Source organism: Homo sapiens, chromosome 11, assembly GCF_000001405.40.
Source record: "Homo sapiens chromosome 11, GRCh38.p14 Primary Assembly".
Lineage (NCBI taxonomy): Eukaryota > Metazoa > Chordata > Mammalia > Primates > Hominidae > Homo > Homo sapiens.
In genome coordinates this window covers 7840200-7864540 of record NC_000011.10, presented here as the reverse complement: position 1 = coordinate 7864540, position 24341 = coordinate 7840200, and the positions used below count along the sequence as shown (strand labels likewise).

General features: G+C 38.1%; 1 long non-coding RNA gene and 1 pseudogene across 2 annotated transcripts in view; one reads left to right on the top strand and one right to left on the bottom strand.

Annotated features, from left to right (window-relative positions):
* The window catches only part of LOC283299 (uncharacterized), a 55205-nt gene extending 41415 nt beyond the window's left edge, over positions 1–13790 (top strand). Inside the window, exons 7-8 of the long non-coding RNA NR_036678.1 lie at positions 9578–9658; positions 12217–13790. This is a non-coding gene — a long non-coding RNA (uncharacterized LOC283299). The remainder of the gene's footprint in view (positions 1–9577; positions 9659–12216) is intronic.
* Positions 13791–14969: 1179 nt separating this feature from the next.
* Positions 14970–15490, bottom strand: OR5E1P (olfactory receptor family 5 subfamily E member 1 pseudogene; annotated as a pseudogene). The gene has a single exon (NR_027711.1). The product of NR_027711.1 is annotated as an olfactory receptor family 5 subfamily E member 1 pseudogene (transcript).
* Positions 15491–24341: the final 8851 nt, after the last annotated feature.

Sequence of the window (24341 nt, the reverse complement as noted above, 5' to 3'; positions counted from 1 at the left end):
GTTAGGGAGGATTCCCTCTTTTTCTATTGATTGGAATAGTTTCAGAAGGAATGGTACCAGTTCCTCTGTGTACTTCTGGTAGAATTCGGCTGTGAATCCATCTGGTCCTGGACTCTTTTTGGTTGGTAAGCTATTGATTATTGCCACAATTTCAGCTCCTGTTATTGGTCTATTCAGAGATTCAACTTCTTCCTGGTTTAGTCTTGGGAGAGTGTATGTGTCGAGGAATTTATCCATTTCTTCTAGATTTTCTAGTTTATTTGCGTAGAGGTGTTTGTAGTATTCTCTGATAGTAGTTTGTATTTCTGTGGAATCGGTGGTGATATCCCCTGTATCATTTTTTATTGCGTGTATTTGATTCTTCTCTCTTTTTCTCTTTATTAGGTTTGCTAGCGGTCTATCAATTTTGTTAATCCTTTCAAATAACCAGCTCCTGGATTCATTAATTTTTTGAAGGGTTTTTTGTGTCTCTATTTCCTTCAGTTCTGCTCTGATTTTAGTTATTTCTTGCCTTCTGCTAGCTTTTGAATGTGTTTGCTCTTGCTTTTCTAGTTCTTTTAATTGTGATGTTAGGGTGTCAATTTTGGATCTTTCCTGCTTTCTCCTGTGGGCATTTAGTGCTATAAATTTCCCTCTACACACTGCTTTGAATGCGTCCCAGAGATTCTGGTATGTTGTGTCTTTGTTCTCGTTGGTTTCAAAGAACATCTTTATTTCTGCCTTCATTTCGTTATGTACCAAGTAGTCATTCAGGAGCAGGTTGTTCAGTTTCCATGTAGTTGAGTGGTTTTGAGTGAGATTCTTAATCCTGAGTTCTAGTTTGATTGCACTGTGGTCTGAGAGATAGTTTGTTATAATTTCTGTTCTTTTACATTTGCTGAGGAGAGCTTTACTTCCAACTATGTGGTCAATTTTGGAATAGGTGTGGTGTGGTGCTGAAAAAAATGTATATTCTGTTGATTTGGGGTGGAGAGTTCTGTAGATGTCTATTAGGTCCACTTAGTGCAGAGCTGAGTTCAATTCCTGGGTATCCTTGTTGACTTTCTGTCTCATTGATCTGTCTAATGTTGACAGTGGGGTGTTAAAGTCTCCCATCATTAATGTGTGGGAGTCTAAGTCTCTTTGTAGGTCACTCAGGACTTGCTTTATGAATCTTGGTGCTCCTGTATTGGGTGCATATATATTTAGGATAGTTAGCTCTTCTTGTTGAATTGATCCCTTTACCATTATGTAATGGCCTTCTTTGTCTCTTTTGATCTTTGTTGGTTTAATGTCTGTTTTATCAGAGACTAGTATTGCAACCCCTGCCTTTTTTTGTTTTCCATTTGCTTGGTAGATCTTCCTCCATCCTTTTATTTTGAGCCTATGTGTGTCTCTGAACGTGAGATGGGTTTCCTGAATACAGCACACTGATGGGTCTTGACTCTTTATCCAATTTGCCAGTCTGTGTCTTTTAATTGGAGCATTTAGTCCATTTACAGTTAAAGTTAATACTGTTATGTGTGAATTTGATCCTGTCATTATGATGTTAGCTGGTTATTTTGCTCGTTAGTTGATGCAGTTTCTTCCTAGTCTTGATGGTCTTCACATTTTGGCATGATTTTGCAGCGGCTGGTACCGGTTGTTCCTTTCCATGTTTAGCGCTTCCTTCAGGAGCTCTTTTAGGGCAGGCCTAGTGGTGACAAAATGTCTCAGCATTTGCTTGTCTGCAAAGTATTTTATTTCTCCTTCGCTTATGAAGCTTAGTTTGGTTGGATATGAAATTCTGGGTTGAAAATTCTTGTCTTTAAGAATGTTGAATATTGGCCCCCACTCTCTTCTGGCTTGTAGGGTTTCTGCCGAGAGATCCGCTGTTAGTCTGATGGGCTTCCCTTTGAGGGTAACCCGACCTTTCTCTCTGGCTGCCCTTAACATTTTTTCCTTCATTTCAACTTTGGTGAATCTGACAATTATGTGTCTTGGAGTTGCTCTTCTCTAGGAGTATCTTTGTGGCATTCTCTGTATTTCCTGAATCTGAACGTTGGCCTGCCTTGCTAGATTGGGGAAGTTCTCCTGGGTAATATCCTGAAGAGTGTTTTCCAACTTGGTTCCATTCTCCCCATCACTTTCAGGTACACCTATCAGACGTAGATTTGGTCTTTTCACATAGTCCCATATTTCTTGGAGGCTTTGTTCATTTCTTTTTATTCTTTTTTCTCTAAACTTCCCTTCTCGCTTCATTTCATTCATTTCATCTTCCATCACTGATACCCTTTCTTCCAGTTGATTGCATTGACTCCTGAGGCTTCTGCATTCTTCATGTAGTTCTCGAGCCTTGGTTTTCAGCTCCATCAGCTCCTTTAAGCACTTCTCTGTATTGGTTATTCTAGTTATACATTCTTCTAAATTTTTTTCAAAGTTTTCAACTTCTTTGCCTTTGGTTTGAATGTCCTCCCGTAGCTCAGAGTAATTTGATCGTCTGAAGCCTTCTTCTCTCAGCTCGTCAAAGTCATTCTCCATCCAGCTTTGTTCCGTTGCTGGTGAGGAACTGCGTTCCTTTGGAGGAGGAGAGACACTCTGCGTTTTAGAGTTTCCAGTTTTTCTGTTCTGTTTTTTCCCCATCTTTGTGGTTTTATCTACTTTTGGTCTTTGATGATGGTGATGTACAGATGGGTTTTTGGTGTGGATGTCCTTTCTGTTTGTTAGTTTTCCTTCTAACAGACAGGACCCTCAGCTGCAGGTCTGTTGGAATACCCTGCAGTGTGAGGTGTCAGTGTGCCCCTGCTTTGGAGTGCCTCCCAGTTAGGCTGCTCGGGGGGTCAGGGGTCAGGGACCCACTTGAGGAGGCAGTCTGCCCGTTCTCAGATCTCCAGCTGCGTGCTGGGAGAACCACTGCTCTCTTCAAAGCTGTCAGACAGGGACATTTAGGTCTGCAGAGGTTACTGCTGTCTTTTTGTTTGTCTGTGCCCTGTCCCCAGAGGTGGAGCCTACAGAGGCAGGCAGGCCTCCTTGAGCTGTGGTGGGCTCCGCCCAGTTGGAACTTCCAGGCTGCTTTGTTTACCTAATCAAGCCTGGGCAATGGCGGGCGCCCCTCCCCCAGCCTTGCTGCCGCCTTGCAGTTTGATCTCAGACTGCTGTGCTAGCAATCAGAGACTCCGTGGGCGTATGACCCTCCAAGCCAGGTACGGGATATAATCTCGTGGTGCACCGTTTTTTAAGCCCGTCGGAAAAGCGCAGTATTTGGGTGGGAGTGACCCGATTTTCCAGGTACCGTCCGTCACCCCTTTCTTTGACTCAGAAAGGGAACTCCCTGACCCCTTGCGCTTCCCAAGTGAAGCAATGCCTCGACCTGCTTCGGCTCGCGCACGGTGCGCGCACCCACTGACCTGCGCCCACTGTCTGGCACTCCCTAGTGAGATGAACCCGGTACCTCAGATGGAAATGCAGAAATCACCGTCTTCTGTGTCGCTCATGCTGGGAGCTGTAGACGGGAACTGTTCCTATTCAGCCATCTTGGCTCCTCCCCCTAGTTTGTACTTTCTAATTCAGCACCTTTCTCCTCGATTTTCAGTTCTTCCAGTACATATTCTCTGTCATCTGGGCCCCTCAGCCTGCTGTTCCCTCTGCTTAAAACACTCTTTCTACTGGGCTTGTAATTTCAGGCTGATGTTCCTTTTATAATTAAGAAAAGGTATGCAAATAAAACTATCTACTGAGAGCGAAAATAACCTGTGAGTTACCTGGAGTTTACAGAGGCTAGAAAGAATAGAATGCACTGTGGCCACAGTGCTCATGTTTTTCAAGAGGGTATCAGTGCTGTGACTTTTCGAATAATATCCTCATCATTTCCTCAGTAACAGGATTAGTATTAAATCCCAGAGGAAAGTTGCAAGAACCCATTTTCTCAAGTTATGTAAAACTCAGATTCAACAAACTCCCCCCATTTATACCACTGTGTGAACCTGATAACAACACATTCAAGATAGCAAAAACATGGAAGTAAGTGGCTTCTAGCTTCAATGCCACAGATATTTTTTAAATAGTTATTTTAAAATGATAATTTGTAGGTAGTATATTTAATTCAAGGAAGTCTAAAATATTAGACTTGAAATCATCAGGAGTGTGTAATACATCGGACAGTTTAGTTCAACTCAACTTTTAAATCAATATTTTAAAATCAAATTTTATTCTAATGTGTTTGAATTCTGCAAAGTTTTTTCAGGTATCAAAACTAGGAACTTTTTTAAATTTTACTTTAAGTTCTGGTATACATGTGCAGAATGTGCAGTTTTGTTACATAGGTATACATGTGCCATGGTGGTTTGCTGCACCCATCAACCCGTCATCTAGGTTTGAAGCCCCCCATGCATTAGGTATTTGCCCTAGTGCTCTCCCTCCCCTTGCCCCCACCCCCAGTAGGCCCTGGTGTGTGATGTTCCCCTCCCTGTGTCCATGTGTTCTCATTGTTCAACTCCCATTTATGGGTGAGAACATGCAGTGTTTGGTTTTCTGTTCCTGTGTTAGTTTGCTGAGGATGATGGTTTCCAGCTTCATCCATGTCTCTGCAAAGGACATGAACTCATTCTTCACTGGTCATTAGAGAAAGCAAATCAAAACCACAATGAGATACCATCTCACGCCAGTTAGAAGGCAATCGTTAAAAACTCAGGAAACAACAGATGCTGGCAAGACTGTGGAGAAATAGGAATGCTTTTACACTGTTGGTGGGAGTGTAAATTAGTTCAACCATTGTGGAAGACAGTGTGATGATTTCCTCAAGGATCTAGAACCAGAAATACCATTTGACCCAGCAATCCCATTACTGGGTATGTACTCAAAGGATTATAAATCATGCTACTATAAAGACACATTCCCACGTATGTTTATTGTGGAACATTATTTTTTGAATGTTTTAAAGGCTCTTAAGTAAAATGTTTTTTCTTAGTGTGATGTTTATTGTAGGGGCTTATGAATTGTTTGTTGCTCCTTTACTAATTAAGCAAAGTTTGTAAGGTTTTAGAGGCAGTTCCTTTCTTTTATTTCTATTCCAGGATTTTAGCAATTGTTAGGTTCTCATCTATCACATCTCAAAAGTTAGTTTTCACTCCAAAACTGAGAGGTTCAAATAGGATTTAAATTGTCAAAAAAAATTGTGTCTACTGTGGTGTTTTTTGCATCATGACAGTAATTTGACTCTGCAGCTTAAGAATATGGAGAATATTTTAAAAAAAAGGATATGGAGAATATGGAAGTGACAAGAATTGTAGGGTTCAGACATCTACTCTGATACAAATTATTTACCAGCTGGCTCAGGAAAGGTGAGCCAGTGCTTGTCCCTTGGAGACTCAGGCGTGTATTTGGAAGAGAATATGTAAAGCCTGAAGGAAATCTGCAGATGTGCTTTATTTAATTCCTTGTTATATTTATGTACCTAAGAACACTCTCGACAAAAGCAAGCTAGGCTTCTGGTTCAGATGGCAGAGTGTGAAAAGCTTTGCTGTGCATTGGTCCCTGTTGCAAACAGGCTGATGCCTAGGCCAGCCCTGTCAGCAATCCAAGCCCAGCTCTGGGCTTTTCACTGGTGAGGACAGTGGGGAGCAGTACAATCCCTGTGGACATAGGAACAATAGGCCACAGCCCACCGCAGTGCTCCAGGGAAGCAATTTGGAGCCTGAATCTAGCCCCATCATTTAGACATACACCATGAATCAGAGGGCATTTGTGCTATTATTAGTCCACACTCCTATAACAGGTCAGCCAGTTCACTATATTTCCCATTCTTTCTTTTTTTTATTCTCTTAAAACATATTTAGTTGACAAATAAAAATTTGTCAAGGAGTACAATGTAATAACTTGATATAAGTATACACTGTGTAATGAAGTACAGTGAAAAACTTCAGTGAAGAAAGCTGTAAAACCTCTTATGGCCTCTTGTGCAGATCTTGCAGCGTCTGCACCTGTTAAACCTCTGCCAGTCTCCTTCCTGGGTCTGAATCTGGCCTCCACCATTTCCACACTATGTGATCCAGGATCCATCATTTCGTTTCTTTAAGCTCCACTTTACTTATCTGTGTTATGGTTAATCAGAACGGCTTTTGCTAAGTAATGATGAAGTGAGATATACTCATGTATGCAAAGTGCTTAGAGCAGGGCCTAAAGGGTAGTAAGAGCCCAATGAATGTTAAGCGCAGGGTTTAAGACCCTTTGTAGAGGCCCAGCTCAATATCCTGCGATGTTCTGAGCAGGTTCCTTAGCGTATTCTTTATGTCAGTTAAGTCCAAAACGTGATAAGGGAACTAACTATGTCAGTGGCAAGTCCAGACAAGAAGGACAGAGATTTGTGAATTCCTAGGCGCCAACTGGATTCTGACAACCAGACAAGTGAGAACAGGAGGACTCAGCTACTTTCTTTTTCTTGAGGACCGGAAATCAGGGAAGATCTCTCTAAAACAGTAGCATTCAAATGCCTGTGCAGAATGCGGACTCCTTAAAGGGTGAAGTGAGTTGCTCAGAAACATGCAGCTAGGAGATGGGTAAAAGAGGTCTCCTGACTCCCATTTTGGTGTTTCTTGTGTTGATCAAACTGCCTCTATTAGAGCCTTCTTGGAATCTCCAGAAAATACTTTGTACAGAGCATATATACTGATCATAATAAGAAATCATCTGGAACTACATTCTTCCATTAAAAAAATTTTGAATGGCTGCTATGTTTAAGGCTCTGTGTTGGGCACTTAAAGACCCAGCATCTTTCTGTTAGCCATCTCTTCTTTGGGCCAACAGCCTCCTAGTCAGACAGGTCTAAAACTCCAGCATCAACTTTGACACCTGTATTGGCTCATTGTCTGTCTCTTTCACTAGCATTATTCGCTCACTATACATTTAGATTATGGTAGCAACCTTTCAATTTGGCCCCTGCCTGTAGGCTTGACATTTGTCACTAGGAGGGTCCCTAGTTTGGAGTTAATATAGGGTATATATAACTTTGGAGTTAATATAGGGTAAAATCTCAACTGAAGATTTAAGACTATTTCCCAAATGGGATCGATTTCTTAATTTCTGTTTATTTATAAATAAAGAATCAGTAAAAAGCGTCTGGGATTCTATCACCCAGAAATAACCAACACCAACCACTACCAGCAATCTCTGTATCTTTACATATTTCACATATGTAATTAAAAAAATCATACACATAATTTGAAATCATTTGCACATATATCATGAGCATTTTCATAACAATAAATAAATCAATTGATGCATTACATGCTATTATGTCACTAATCCTTAATTTAATCAATCCTCCATTGATTTTTTTATATTAATACTGTTTTTTTACTATTATAATCACTAACAGTAAATGCTAAATACACAGATCTTCATGAATTTGTTGGAGTACTTTCATCAAACAAATTATTGTAAAGGAAATTGCTAGATCAAAGGATGCTTAATTTTAAGGCTTTTGATGAGTGTTGTCAAAGTGCCCTCTGGAAATTTTATGCCAGTTTACACTGTGTTTCCTCTTTCTCTACAGTGTCATCCTGGTTATTAATATTTGTTAACATCTTTGCCAGTCTGAAAGGGGAAAATGATATTATGTTAATTTGTATTTTATTGATTACGAGAGTGAAATATTTTGCATATCAAAGGCCATTTATATTTCCTATTTTGTGAGTTATCCATTCATATCTTGTAACTATACTTTCACTGATTTATCTTATTTGTCTGTATTAATTCTGTCATATATAGTGAATATTTTCCCATTTAATTTTTTTTTACTAATTATTGTAATAAACATTAAAATTTTTGATTTCATCAAATCTTTCACACTTTTTATTTGCAACTTCTGAACTTAATTCTTTTCTTGGAAAAGCTTTTCTTATTCCAAGCCTAGCAAATATTCAGCAATATTTTATTCAAGCGCTTTTAAGGTTTCATTTGTTACCTTAAGATCTGATCAATGTTGAATTTATTTTGATATAGAGTATAAGAAAAAGTAACTGTGTTGTGGCTTGCATTTTCTCTAATTTACGATAAATCCATCTTTTCCCTCACTGATCTGGAATGGTGATATTATTATATGTTATACATACATGAATCTACTGAGGATCTTTGATGTGAAGAGGTTAGATGCAGAGATACCAGGGAGGTCCAGGTGCAAAGTAATGATAAAGCTGCTAGTAGCAATGAAAAGGAAAAGGATTAGTGCAAGAAATCTTGCATGAATGCATAGATGAATAATAGATAAGTCTTGTCTCCTCTTTGAAATATGAGGTAATAAGGAGAAACTACATAGTTTTTGAACTAGATGACTGGGGAAAATTGTCATGTACAAAAATAGGGAAAGCAGGAGTAGTTGGCTGTGAAGTAGAAGATGATGATCAATTTAATCATTAGGATTTTGAGTTTGTGGTCCCAATAGAGTATCTGTGGTGTGGTGGGGAGAGAGGGAGGGAGGGAGGGAAGAAGGTGGGGGGGGGGGGAGAGAGAGAGAGAGAGAGAGAGAGAGAGAGAGAGAGAGAGAGAAGCAGGGAGCAGATTAAGTCTAGATTCAGTTAACTTTTGTTACATATCTACTGTAACTACTTTATTTACTCTAACAGGCAACACTGCATTTTCCTGGATGGTTCATCAATACTTGAGAGATTTTACTCTTTCTCAAAAGAGTAAAGCAATAGCCAGCATCTCCACAGAATCTCAGAATAGCACATCATCTTCTCCCCGGCCCTCTTCCCTGCCCCCTTTTCTCTCCTCCTACCCAGCCTTGGATCCTCATATCTCAGGCTCCTCATCACCCTCCTCCTAGAGTTAGAGAGGCGGTGGAATTCTCATCCTAGCAGCCCTGCTTGGGGAAGGTAGAGAGCACAGGAAGGGAAAGAAGGTAGGGGAAGAGGCTTCTGCAGAACCTTAACTCTTGTGCTACTTTCCCTCAGCTTCTGCCAGGCTTATTGCTAGTCCAAGCAGAGACCAAGGAAAAGGTCTCTTACTCTTACCCCTTCCCCATAGAACACCCTGGCCTGCCTCCTACAGCTTACCGCTAATGTCTTTTCAGAGGCTGGGTGAGACCAGCAGAAGCTCAGAGCAGTCACAGACATGGGGGACAAATGCTGCCTTTCAGAACTGCAGCAGTAACAAGAAAAACGTTTCTAGTGTCCGCTATGGAAATGTGTGAGCTGTAGTGGTTTAGGGTCAAAGAAATGTCTGTGAACATTTATTATTAGTTAAGAAGACAACTTTGTGTCCAGGGGACAGTCTCCATGTTCCAGATCGTTGACTTGCGAACAGACAGTGGGACCAGAACTCCTGTAAGTTGGAAATGGGCTGCATTAATTTCTTCCAGTCATGCATAAAGAAAATGCATTATTGGACACGTATGCAACTTCTATATTTTGTCACATAGGTAGATATAAAAACATTTTCCAGCAAGGATTTCCCAAACACTTCAAATCAAAGACTCTAAAAGTTAAACACTAATCATGGTAAAGTCTGGTTATTAAAAATAAAAGCTTTATACTTTTATAATGTTTAAAATATGTTTTAGCATACCGTAGACTATTTTGTCTGTTTGGCAGCTCTTTGAGGTACAATTTTCCTCATTTTCCAGATGAAAAAGTTAAGGCTAGACGGGTCAAGCCACTTGACTGATACCACAGGTCAGAGCATACAAAGGACTCAAGATCAGACTGTGAGTTTCCCAATCTATTCCTCTTCCTAGTACATCACCACTGCTTCCACAGGCTTTGAGCGTCTGCTTTTTGAGACCATACTTTATTTTTGGTAAGCAAAATCTTTACCTCCAAGAACATGCATTTTTTTCAGGCTCAGCATGATTTATTCTGCTTACTTGGTTTGCAGGTGTCTACTGATGTGCTCTATTATACATGTCTAAAGTGTGGACTGATAGGCATTATCAGGAGTCAGTTACAGGTTTAATGAAGTGATCATACCGACAGCCTTCTTTTGATAAATTTAACAATTTAATATATAGGAAAATAGGAATATGTCAGGAGATAAAGGCTTAACAGATTGTGTTTTAACACCTAATTAAATAAAGCAGAGCAGAGAACTGTATTCTTAGATTAAAGCTAATAGAGTTGCTATTTTGAGACTGTGAACACTTGAGAATTATCCGTGATTTGTGGTAAATATAAGAAAAGATAGTCCAAAATTTTAAGAAGACATTTCAACCTTTCTTCATAAAATGACTACTCCCCAACACAAGCAACATTAATTAGAATTTCCTTTCAATTTGCTCCTTTATTACAGTTAACACTAGTTTAAATTCTCCATTTGAAAGATGTCTAAGGAAAGCTAGTAGCTACTTTTGCCAAAGCAAATAAGTGAAATACTATTTATAACTTTCACATGAAATATGACATGATAAGAATAAAAATGGTTAAAAGTGGCTCTTTCTAAAGAGGAAAGACAATAACAATGAAATAAAAAGCTTTTAGGAGAAACCCAGAGATGGACCTGAGAGCTCTCTGTACTCTTGCCTAAATATGAGAAAGCTGTAGTCACGTAGCATCCCCAGCTGAGGGTGAGGCAGAGGTGGGCAGGAGAGTGCTGGAGCCTGGCTGGCTCATTGACTGTCCTTCTCCTCATGCCACATCCAACGTGGCTGGCAAACAAGACTGCCTTTCAATGAGGAGCAGAAGCTGCAGGTTCGTAGGTGTCCAGGTGCCTGAGTGGCCAACACGCCCAAGCAAAGAAAGTAAGCTTGTGCTTTTATGGACACTAGGTAAACGCCTTCAGTTTAAATTTTTTGCTAAATATTTTAGCTTATTTTATTGTTATCTTCCAGGTGTCTAAATCTCCAGTCTGTCTGTTGTACTGGTAATTTAACTCTGTAATGGAATGGTTTGCTGCCAACTATTTATATTAAATAATTTTAAAATATTTGTAATATTATTGACTAACAAACTATTAAGTTATTGGCAAAAAAAAAAAAAAAGGAAGCTTGAGGGAATAAAACATTTTTGTTTTAGGCCACAGAATAAGACCTTCTGGAAACTGTCTCTATTAGGATAGTTTCTGCCAAGGCCTAAGAGATACTTACTTAGTTTTTAAAAATTAAAGATGATCTTTTCCCTTCTCTAGTTTTTCCTGTCTTACCGGACATGGAAGTTCCAGTTATTTATAAAAGGTTTATATTTTTGGAGCAAGCTGGCTAGGAAGAGTAGGCTAAATCTGTCACTTTCCCAGGAGCCTAAACTCCTGAAGTTCTGACATCAGTGGCCTCTTTATTGCTGGTGGATGCACCACTTAGTTGCAGGTGGAGCCACTCTTGAGCACTGAATCAGCACTTTTCTATTCAATCTTGTTCACCAAAGAATGCTAGAATGATACATCCAGGGCAGAGTTGAAAATTTGGGGGCACATATTTGAGATTTTTAAAATGCTTACATTTCTGAAATTCTAATACATCAAATAATATGAAAGAAAATGGAAAAGAATAATATGGTTCCCTCTCATGGTTCCTTATTTTGATTGGAATAATAAAACAATTCATTTGGCATGTTTCCAAGCATGACAAATCAATAGAGTATAAAATGAAGAGAAATAAGAAGTTGAAATCTATACCAGTTGAAAAATTCAGCATTTTATGTCCAAATGAGTATTTCAGATACATATCATATTTGTTAATGAAAAGTCTAAGTGGCGAATGCTGGCAAATAACATTCAGTTTTAGGATTATTAACAAAGGAAGACAAATACGCTGTTTATTTACATGTGAGAAGAGTTTATTTTCACTTTCAGCAAAATGTTGCAGTCTTAAATTCTGATAAATCTGCCATTATTTTGGTGACATTTACATATTCAGAAGATATTTACTTTGGGCTGAATGATTAGTGTAATTATTCTGCGTATTGACTGAAACAGCCTCACTTTATAAGGAAACAAAGGTGTATAATTATATTTGTTTCTCTTGTGGATTATATATTATCATATTAATACTATACATATATACAGCACTCTATTTTTTAACGCAAATAATTAATTTGAGAATTTTTCACCTGAGACCTTTCTTACTTCATAAGGCCAGAGTCAGGGAGATAAATGTATAAGGCTGAGTCTCAATGGGAAAAGAAAATAGGAATTATTAGCTCAAAAATTAGCTGATTCTGACCTTTTCTCATGCCTATTTGCTTTTCGAGTTTCTGGGAAATTTAGTAAAATGTAGATTTATATTCTTTGCAATCTATGAATACAATATTCTCAATTTTATGCTTTGTTTTACAGAGTAATCAAGGAGGCGTGTTGAGCCAAGTGTACAAATTCAACAGCTGGGAAGGTATTATGGGGAGGTCTTGTAACATTTTATTCAGGTTTCCTTGAAAAGAACTGAAAACTGATGAAACTTTTAGACCGAATATTCCTTTGAAAACATGAATAGAATTCATTTGCTGAGAGGCATGTATTGAAACGTGATATCTAGTGCATGGTTATTTTTCACTTTCTAAATTAAACTGACATAGAGAGTTTGAGAAATAAGTTTAAGAAATAGACATGGCTTATGATTGAAAGCACAATTTTCCATCTAAATGTTGGTCCGTGTTCATCTTTATCTCAGTTAGTAGCAACCTTTGTTCCGCAGCAGTTGTTCGTTGATTGTTATGGTCTGTCGACAGCTCCAGCTCGTGCCATCTTCCCAATGTACCAACTTCTCTTTCTCTGGTCAGGTTGCGCTGTTGCCTTTGTATGTCTTCCCACCTCATGGATGTTAGTTTCATTATGAGAATATTGAAAAACAGTCTTCCAGTCATAACCCCACTGGCTTCCTTTTCTCTGTCACTTCCAAACCGCAGGACCATTGCTGGGCACCATGTCTACCCACCCATGAGAGTTAGGAATAAACACAAACGAGTTCAATTCAGTTCAGCAAACAGTTATTGTGCATCTATTTTATGCCAGGAACTGCAGAAGGTGCTGGGGTACAAAGTGAAGAAGATAATTTGCTTGGTCTCAAGGGGGAGCTCCTGGTCTAATACCCAGGCTCCTATAATCCCTCAGCATTATCCTCTCCACTTTGCCTGTTCCCCTGTTGCTCATTACCTGTGCAACCGCTCCTCCCTCTCTGGCTCAATTCCTGCTTTTCTTCCCTCTGTTCCTTTATCCTGCTAGTGTCTTCCTTTTCAACCATAGCCAACACTCCATCTTCAAATGCTTAGCGATACAACTTATACCTCAACTATCTGGAAAGGCTTTCTGAACTAAGTAGGAGAAGTTGTAAATATTTAACTTTTTATTTTTCTAAATTATCTGATTATAAGCAACAGTAAAACAAAGATCCCATATTATTATCTGCAGAGTTAATTTGGGGACAACAGGGACCTCTTAGTTTTTTTGATTAATTTTAAACTTACTTGTAATTAATTGGTAGTATATGTTACAAACCATTAAAAATTACTTAACAGTAATCACTTTTGAAAATAGGAGGAAAATAAACATTTTTATGGCAGATTTGTTTGCCTTAAGAATTATTTTGAAAGAAGTATTAGAATCGAGGCTTAGAAAAACGGTAGAGTGCTTGGCTGGGCGCAGTGGCTCACACCTGTAATCCCAGCACTTTGGGAGGCCGAGGTGGATGGATCACGAGGTCAGGAGTTCGAGACCAGCCTGCCCAATATGGTGAAACCCTGTCTCTACTAAAAGTACAAAAATTAGCCGGGCGTGGTGGCGCACGCCTGTAGTCCCAGCTACTCAGGAGGCTGAGGAAGATCACTTGAACCCGGGAGGCAGAGGTTGCAGTGAGCCAAGATTGTGCCACTGCACTGCAGGCTGGGTGACAGAGTGAGACTCCATCTCAAAAAAACAAAAAGCAAACAAACAAAAAAACCCCAAAACAAAGAGTGCTCATATTTTTGCCTAAATGAAAAAAAATTAGAGATTTTTCTTTCACCTATCCCCCAAAACACCAAGAATTCATATAGCCTTATTTCCAAGAAATTGGAATGCTGGATCTGTGAAAACAAAAATAAAGAACATGGAAAATGTTGCAAAACTAAAGTATTTCTCTAGATCATTCAAATTAATTAAGACAATAATTTTGTTTCTTAGAAACATTCACATATACCCAGGCCTGATTACTTCCCCAAATGCTCCCTCTTTCCATTCCTTTTTCTCCCTACTCACCCCTCACCCCCTCCCAAAAAACTCACTATGGCTCCACTTTCCAGAGACTAGAAAAATTGAACCCTGGCTGTTGAAAAAATGACTATTTTTAACATCTCTAAAAGTTTCCTAAACCTTCTCTTTATCTCTTTTAATTAAACTTTCTTTTCTAAACAACCCCCCCATCTAATTGAATCCCAGTGGTTTTTTTTTTGTTGTTCTTTTCTCCCCCCACTGTTGCTGCAATACTATATTTTCTATTGTTTATTTAAAGCATGCAGTATTTCAATTACATTTGGATTAAATAAGGTTTTTGTAAGCTGGTCTTGAAACTTAATCACCGTCTGTAGCAAAGTGTTATGAAGAAATATGTTCTAAGACTAACAAATTACTCTCTACAATACAGCCTGTTGTAAACTGAAAAGTGTTTCTTATAACATCGATTTTCATGTGTGGGTTTTGTACCCAGCTTTGTTAAATTATAGTTTCACCCAGAATGTTGCTTTTCAGGATCTTTTTTAATATAGAGCTTATATTATTATTTAATTGGTAGTAAGCCATTTCTTCTTCAGCACATGAAGGACACAGTTATTGACATTCTAGCTTGTAAGTCAATTTTGATAGTTCACGATAATTGGATTAAACATTACTATGTTAAATAAGTGACCCAGTACTTTGGTCATTAAAATTCCCAAATTGGATTACTGTTTGCTTCCTGATTGGACAGCAGTTGGCCTGCTAAATGTAAACTTAATTAGAGACATTACCTTGTCAATATATCAAACTTTCAGTATGCTGCGTTCCATTAACTCACTCACTATAACTCTTTGCCCTCTAGCATTTTTTTCAGGGCATCCTTTACTTCTGTGTTTCTCAGGCGATAGATAAGAGGGTTAAGCATGGGAATTACAAGACTATAAAACACAGAGACTACTTTGTTTGGCTTCCATGAATTCCCCGCTTTTGGTTGCTGCAGGTACATGAAAAATAGTGTGCCATAAAAGATGGTGACGACAGTGAGGTGGGAGGCACGGGTGGAAAATGCTCTGCACTTGCCCTCGGAAGACTGGATTTTTATAATGGAAAAGAGGATGCAAATGTAGGAGATGAAGATGGTAAGGAGGGACCCAGTGAGATTTACTGCAGAGAAGATCATGAGCTGCTTTTCTTTGTTGTGGGTGTCAGAGCAGGAGAGGGCCAGGAGAGGGGGGTCAGCACAGTAGAAGTGGTGGATGACGTCGGAGTTGCAGAAAGACAGCTGAAACGTCAGAGCTGTCTGTATCACAGAGTTTCGGAAGCCATAGGTATAGACCCCTATCACTAACTCCCTGCAGACCCGCTGCGTCATAATAGCTGTGTAAATCAGGGGGTTGCAGATGGCCACGTAGCGGTCGTAGGGCATTGTGGCCAAGAGGAATCATTCTGTAGTGGCAAAAGCACCGGAGAAGTACAGCTGAGCAAAACAGCCTGAAAAGGAGATGGTTTTTTTCTTCACCAATACATTTTGCAGCATCTTGGGCCCAATAGAAGATGAGTAACACAGATCAATGAATGCCAGGTGACTGAGGAAGTAGTACATGGGGGTGTGGAGCCGCGAGTCTGCTCTGATCAGCAGGATCATGCCAAGGTTTCCCACCAGGGTGATGAGATAAATGACAAGGAACACCACAAAGAGGGGGAGCTGCAGCTCAGGACGGTCTGTGAATCCCATGAGGACAAATTCGGTCACTGTGGTACGATTGCCTTTTGTCATGTTCTCTCGCCTGCTGCAAAAAATAAGAAATGATTAGATACTTAAAAACAAACGCTTCTTACCTCTTTGTTGCATTACCATACGAAAAAAAAAATGTGGCTTTACATTTCCAATAGTTAAAGGCTGTCATTAGCTATGGGACTTTATTCTGCTAAAACAGACTTGGCAAGACTGAACTCATTTCTTTTTGGAACCAGGAGAACGATTTTCCTAGGACAGAACCTATTTTTATGTTAACAGTGTTGGTGTTTTCAGTTCAACTCAACAGATACTTCTGGGCTTTGTGTGGGGCCAGATAGCATGCTTGGTGCTGGGCTGGAGATGGGTATGACAATGACATTGTCTTTGTTCTTATGGAGTCTAGTGGAGGGTTCGTAAAACATTCCTAAGGGGAAGTGAGCCAAGTATTTTTGGAGCTGCAGAGTGCTGTAGGAGTTCACAGGAGGGAGAGATTGAATGTGGATGGTGGAAATGGAAAAGCTTCATTCATTCATTCTCATTCACTTATCAAACACATATTGCCCCTCTTCAATGTGCCAGATGCTATGCTAAGTGAAGGTGACCCAAACATGAATAAAACGTATGTCTGCCTTCAATGAATGCACAGGCTGGTAGGAGAAACATACATGTAAGTAACTAGTTACAATTCACTGTGGGTAATGCTCTGAAAGAGAGGAATCTCCTAACTCAACCGTGTGTGGGGGTGGAGGATCAGCAGTCTTAGGCAACACTGAATTGTCCTAAATTTTAGGCTGGATATTTAAAATTATAAATGTAATATATCCACTTGGTGAAATTATCAATAGGAGAAAGGGATATAAATGAAAAAACAGTTTCTCTCCTCTACCTCCAATATAATTAATGGTATCCAATGTTAACAGTTCCTTTAGTATTCTTCTAAGAATGCTTAGGTATAAACAAGTATCAATACACACAAAACACACACACACATACTTTTCTACATAAATGAAATCATACAGTTTTGTACCTTTTCTCTTCTTACACTTAAGAAATATTTCCATGATAAGAACACATGGATACATAGAGGGGAACAACACACATTGGGGCTTATTGGAGGGTGGAGGGTGGGAGGAGGGAGAAGATCAGGAAAAGTAACTAATGAATACTAGGCTTAATACCTGGGTGATGAAATAATCTGTACAACAACCCCCTATGACACACATTACCTATGTAACAAACCTGCACATCCTGCACAGTTACCCCTGAACTTAAAATAAAAGTTAAAGACGTATTTCCAAAGTAGTTCATAGAAATCCATGACATTTTCATAACTGTATCATAATTTATTAATAAGTTCTCTCTTAATGGATATTTAAATGTTTACAATTTTGTTTTTTTTTTTCTATCTCAAATAAAGCTTGCGCTCATATGTCTAAGCATGTGTGTGGATTAAAGATAAACCACTAGGTCAGGCATGGTGGCTCAAACCTGTAATCCCAGTACTTTGAGAGGCTGAGGTGGGCGGATCATGAGGTCAGGAGATCGAGACCATCCTGGCCAACATGGTGAAACCCCATCTCTACTAAAAAAAAAAAAATTAGCTGGGTGCGGTGACACGTGCCTGTAATCCCACTGTAATCCCAGCTACTCGGGAGGCTCAAGCCTGAGAATCTCTTGAACCCAGGAGACAGAGGTTGCAGTGAGCTGAGAAGGTGCCACTGCACTCCAGCCTGGTGACACAGCGAGACTCCATCTCAAAAGAAAAAAAAAGAAAAAGATAAACCACTAGAAGTGAAGTTTGGGTCAAAATGTATATATTCACTTTACTTTTTTGATCGTGATTGACAAATTGACCTCCAAGTAAATTTCACCGAGTCAAACTCGCTTCTAACGAGATTGTGCAAGAACACTGATTTTCCCATACTTTTATCCAAAGTTTTATTAAGTTTTAAGCCTTTGCCACTGTGATAGTGGACATTGGTAGCTCCTGCAGTTTTGTGTGTTTTTATGAGTAGGGTTTAGCATTTTTCAAACAATTATTTGTATGTATATTTTTTCCCTATGAACTGTCAGTTCCTTTGTGAATTTTTCTATTAGGTTGATTGATTTTCTAGAACATTTTATTTCTAGGAGGTCTTCGTTTATTAAGGAAACCAGCTCTTTGTCTGATGCATGTATTGCAAATTACTTTTCAGTTTGTCAGTTGTCCCTTAACATTGGTGTGATAATTACTTTGTGTGCTATGCAGTGAGGTTTGCATTGTTTGATTTCAAATTTATCAATCCTTTTCCTTTTGAATTCTGATCTTTGCAACATGGTTAAATGAAACTTCTTCGATTTAAAATTATTTAAAAAATTATCTCCTGTTTTAGTCCAGAGACTTACTTCATTTCAATTTTATATTACAAACTTTGATTTTCCTGGAAATTTAATTTCGATATAAGGAATGAGGCAATCAACTACAGTTATGCATCACATAAAGACAGGAATACATTCTGAGAAATGCATTGTTCAGTGATTCTGTCATCGTGTAAACATCATAGAGTGTACTTGCACAAACCGAAATGGTATAGCCTACTATGCATCTAGGCTATATGGCATAGCTTATTGCTCCTGGGCTACAAACCTGTACAGCATATTACTGTACTGAATATTGTAGGCAATTGTAACACAATGGTATTTGTGTATCTAATCATATCTAAACAAAGAGAAGGTACAGTAAAATACAGTATTATAATATTATGGGACCACCATTGTAAGCTGTCTGTTGTTGATTGAAATGTCATTATGCACTGCATGACTGTATTTTTACTTATTTCTTCAAATGGCTAGCCAGATGATCTAATGCAACTTATTTGTGAAATTGTTTTCCTGCTGGTTTTGTTTATTTAAAACTCCAGACTTATCCTATGCTAATACTAAAACATCCTGAAGTACTTGGGTCAATTTATGATTTTTTTGTAGTCTTTTCTAGAACCAGGACCACACATTTAAATTAAATAGTTATATAATTCATTTTACTATCTAGTAGCAATTTTTCTGGCCATTCTCACATGTACATTTTCCAGATGCATTCTAACATTATTTTATCAAGTTCCAAAAAAATCCTGTTTGTACTTGGAACGCTATTGCATTAAATTGATTTGTCAATTTAAGGGAAAATTGACATTTTTACAACTGAATCTTCTTTTCTGTAACTATGGTATTTATTTTATTGATTAAATAATTTCCTAGAGTTTTAGAGTTTTCTCTAAACTTTACAGATATACATCCTATGTATTTCTTTAAATTCTAGTCACAGATATTTTATCTTTTTGTTACTATTGTAAATTAAATCTTAAAAAGAGTTTTTTGTGGTCTATTCAAGTATTATTTGTGTATAGCAAAACTACTGATTTTTATAAATTAATTTTATAACTCTCTTCCTTACAATAGTTTCCTATCATTTAAAAATAGTTTTCTGGTTGATTCTCTTGGGTTTCTTAACTGCATAATCATACAATATGAAAGGATGTGAGTTTCGTTTCTCATTTCTCTAACGTATTCTTGTTCCTTTTTCTTCTCTACTTGTATTGGTTAGTACTTCCAGAGCAATGTTAATATACAGTAACAGTGGTGGTAATTTTTACCTTTTATCCTCTTGAAGGATGCTTCATAAGTACAAGGAAATTCTCAGGCATTCTAGACAGAGGGAATAGCCTGTGCAAAGTTACTGAGGTTTGAGGAAGTCCAGGCGTTAAATAACTACAAATATTTGGTGTGGTTAGAAAGCAGGCTTCCTAGGAGCAAACCTGCCTTTGGCATTGGCAGGGCCCAGGGCAAGAATAATAAATGAAGGCTCACGTACAATATGCCTAAATATTTAAAAGTTAAAAATCAAGATAACAAATTACTAAAACACATTTTATCCTACCTCCTTAACAACTATCCTTTATAATATCTGGAAGGAAGAATTCTTGGGATCCTTGGAATTCCAGACTGGAAGGCAGTGTTGGTGAGGAGGACTGGTTGCTAGCCCACATGACTGCACTTGCACAGACATCCAAGCAAGAATGTATAAGCTCTGTTTACACTCCTGCAAGTGGCCATCCCTTGGCCACCCATAAGGCCTAGGTGTGAGAACATGAGCAGCATGGTTTACCCTTGCAAGGATGATTTGGTAAAGAGACACTTATGGACATGGCCAAGTGGGGGACATGTGCAGGTTTGCTACATGGCTATATTGTTTGATTTTGAGGTTTGGGGTACACGTGATCCCATCACCCAAGTAGTGAGTATAGTAAGGAATAGGTAGTTTTTCAGCTATTTCTTCACTCTCTCTCATCCTCCTTAGTAGTCCTCAGTGTCTATTGCTCCCATCTTGATGTCCATGTGTACCCAATGCTTAGCTACCACTTATAAGTGAGAACATGTGATATTTGGTTTTCTGTTTCTGTGTTAATTTGCTTAGGATAATGGCCTCCAGCTGCACCCATGTTGCTGCAAAGGATGTGATTTTATTTTATTTATTTATTTTTTATTCTTAAAGTAATATTAATCTCTTTATTTGGGGTGTTTGTGTCTTTTTTATTATTATACTTTAAGTTCTAGGGTACATGTGCACAATGTGCAGGTTTGTTACATAGGTATACATGTGCCATGTTGGTTTGCTATACCCATCAACTTGGCATTTACATTAGGTATTTCTCCTAATGCTATCCCTCCCCCAGCCCCCTACCCTACAACAGGCCCCAGTGTGTGATGTTCCCTGCCCTGTGTTCAAGTGTTCTCATTGTTCAATTCCCACCTATGAGTGATAACATGCAGTGTCTGGTTTTCTGTCCTTGTGATAGTTTGCTCAGAATGATGGTTTCCAGCTTCATCCATGTCCCTACAAAGGACATGAACTCATCCTTTTTATGGCTGCATAGTATTCCATGGTGTATATGTGCTGCATTTTCTTAATCCAGTCTATCACTGATGGACATTTGGATTGGTTCCAAGTCTTTGCTATTGTGAATAGTGCTGCAATAAACATATGTATCTTTATAGTAGCATGATTTATAATCCTTTCGATATATACCCAGTAATGGGATCACTGGGTCAAATGGTATTTCTAGTTCTAGATCCTTGAGGAATTGCCACACTGTCTTCCACAATGGTTGAACTAATTTACACTCCCACCAACAGTGTAAAAGCGCTATTTCTCCACATCCTCTCCAGCACCTGTTATTTCCTGACTTTTTAACGATCACTATTCTAATTGGTGTGAGATGGTATCTCATTGTGGTTTTGATTTGCATTTCTCTGATGGCCAGTGATGATGAGCATTTTTTCATGTGTCTGTTGGCTGCATTAATGTCTTCTTTTGAGAAGTGTCTGTTCATATCCTTTGCCCACTTTTTGATGGGGTTGTTTTTTTCTTGTAAATTTATTTAAGTTCTTTGTAGAGTCTGGATATTAGTCAGATGAGTAGATTGCAAAAATTTTCTCCCATTCTGTAGGTTGCTTGTTCACTCTGATGGTAGTTTCTTTTTCTGTGTAGAAACTCTTTAGTTTAATTAGATCTCATTTGTCTATTTTGGCTTTTGTTGCCGTTACTTTTGGTGTTTTAGTCATGAAGTCCTTGCCCATGCCTATGTCCTGAATGGTATTGGCTAGGTTTTCTTCTAGGGTTTTTATGGTTTTAGGTCTAACATTTAAGTCTTTAATCCATCTCAAATTAATGTGATTTTATTTTTTTAATGGCTGCATAACAGTCCATGGTGTATATGTACTATATTTTCTTTATCCAGTTGGTTCTGTGTCTTTGCTGAGTTGGTTCTATGTCTTTGCTGTTGTGAATAGTGCAGTGATGAACATATGAGTACATGTGTAGTTTTGGTAGAATGGTTTATTTTCCTTTGGGTATATATATATCCAGTAATGGGATTGCTGGGTAAAATGATAGTTCTAAGTTCTTTGAGAAATTTCCAAACTGCTTTCCACAGAGGCTGAACTAATTTACATTCCTATCAACAGTGTATAAGTATCACCTTTTCTCTATAGCCTAACCAGCATTTGATATTTTTAAAACTTTTTAATAGTAGCCATTCTCACTGATGTGAGATGGTGTCTCATACTATAAGGCTACAGTAACCAAAACCCATGGTACTGGTACAAAAATAGACACATTGACCAATGGAACAAAATAGAGAACTCAGAAATAAAGAACAATGGGGAAAGGACAGACTATTTAATCAATGGTGCTGGAAAACTGGGTAACAATATGCAGAAGAATCAACCTTAATCCCTACCCTCTTACCACATACAAAAATTAACTTAAGGTGGAGTAAAGACTTAAGTGTAAGACCTCAAACTATAACAATCCTACAAGAAAACCTACAAAATATTCTTCTGGCTTTTGGCCTTGGTGAAGAATTTATGACTAAGACCTCAAAAGCAAATGCAGCACACCCCAAAATTGACAACTGGGACCTAATTAAACAAAAGAGCTTCTGCACAGCCAAATAAACTATCAACAAGGTAAATAACCTACAGAATGGGAGAAATATTTGTGAGCTATGTATCTGATAAACGACTAATATCCAGAGTCTATAAGGAATTTTAAAAAATCATGAAGCAAAAACCAAATAACTCCATTAGAAAGTTGGAAAAGGACATGAACAGACCGTTCTCAAAAGAAGACATAAATTGTCAGAAAACATGAAAAAATGCTCAACATCACTATTCATTAGAGAAACGCAAATCAAAACCACAATGAGATATTATCTCAAACTAGTCAAAATGGCTATTATAAATATATTATATATATTTATATATATTTTTTAGCAAATGTTAGCAAGGTCACAGAGAGAAAGGAATGCTTATACACTATTGGTGGGAATGTAAATTAATTAATTCAGCTCCAGTGGAAACCAGTTTGGAGACTTCTCAAAGAACTAAAGATAGCAATTTACCCAGCAATCCCGTTAGTGGGTACACACTCAAGGGAAAATAAATCATTCTGCCAAAAAGATACATGCGGTCTAATGTTTGTTGCAGCACTATTCACAATAGCAAAGACATGGAATCAATCCCTATGTGCCCATCAACAGTGGATTGGGTAAAGAAAATGTGGTATGTATACACCATGGAATACTATGCAGCCATAAAAGAATGAAATCATGTTCTTTGCAGCAACAAGGATGGAGATGGAGGCCATTATCCTAGGTGAATTAATGAAGAAACAGAAAACCAAATAACACATATTCATGTATAATAGGAGCTAAATATTGGGTACACACGCACATAGACAGAATTAACAGGCACTGGGGACTCTAAATGGAAGGAGGGAGGGGGACAAGGGTTGAAATCTACCTATTGTTTACCATCTTCACTATTTGAGTGATAGGTTCAATAGAAGCTCAAACTTCAGCATCACTCAATATATCCATTTACGAATTTGTACACGTAACCCCTGAATGTAAAAAAGTTGTACATAAATTGTACATAAATGTAAAACAAAATCGTATAACTCCATTGAAAAAAAACTGCTCTGACAATGTTTATCAGATAAAAAAGCAATCATTTGTGACCATAAAAGGGTTAACCCAGCAAGAAGATACAATTTATCTTTGTATACATCTAATAACATGGCTCTGAAATATATAAAGCAAAAACTAACAAAACTGTAAGGAGACATAGATAAATCTATCATCTTAAATCTTCCATTTTAGTGGAGGATATTTAAAGATACCTCTACAATCTAAATGTACATAATCAGTACAATAGAAAAATACATAATGTTATGCAATGGACTACTATATAACAGTGAAAGTGAATAAACTATATATGCACAAAGTGGATGAATCTCACAAACAATGTTAAATAAGTCAAAAGAAAAAAAATGTATGATTCTAGCTACATAAAGTTTAAAAGCAGGCAAAGCTAGGGCATTCAGCAATAAACGTTTACATAGTAAAACTATAGAAAATAAAGCAACGTTGCAATTTCTATTTTTCTTTGTTGCTCCATAATGTAATTTTGTCAGGACCTGTTTGTTTGGTTCTCAAAACCTATTTACCCCTTTCTCTACTGTTCCTCCAAATGCTAAAGCACCATTGGAGAACCAAAAATTATAAAAGAATCCCTGAAAAATGAAAGCAGGAGAAAATTTCCTGAGAAGAAACTTTAGCCAAAATGTATCTGTAAGAGGATTTCTGCAAGGTGGTAGCCTTGGGAAACAGGACGGACTGCCTAAAATGTGGTTGGTGCAGTGGTTTGTGCTCTAATAGAAGCAGTGACGGGATACAGACATTCTTTCTGTTCCTGCTAGTGCAAAGCAGTGAGCAACAGAGGCATCTGTTACAGCTGGAGCAGTGAGTGGCTCAGAATCCTAGAATCAGAACCGTTTCATTAACCCCCACAAAACTATGTCAGCGCCCTCCCCCCAAGAAAACCCCACACTGTTAACCAGCTGATTTTACTAAAAATTTGAGGCACAGTTAGTGTTTCTCTTTTAATAATTAGTTACAAGAATAGAGAAAGAGACAAAGTTTGCTAATCATTTCATGAGGCA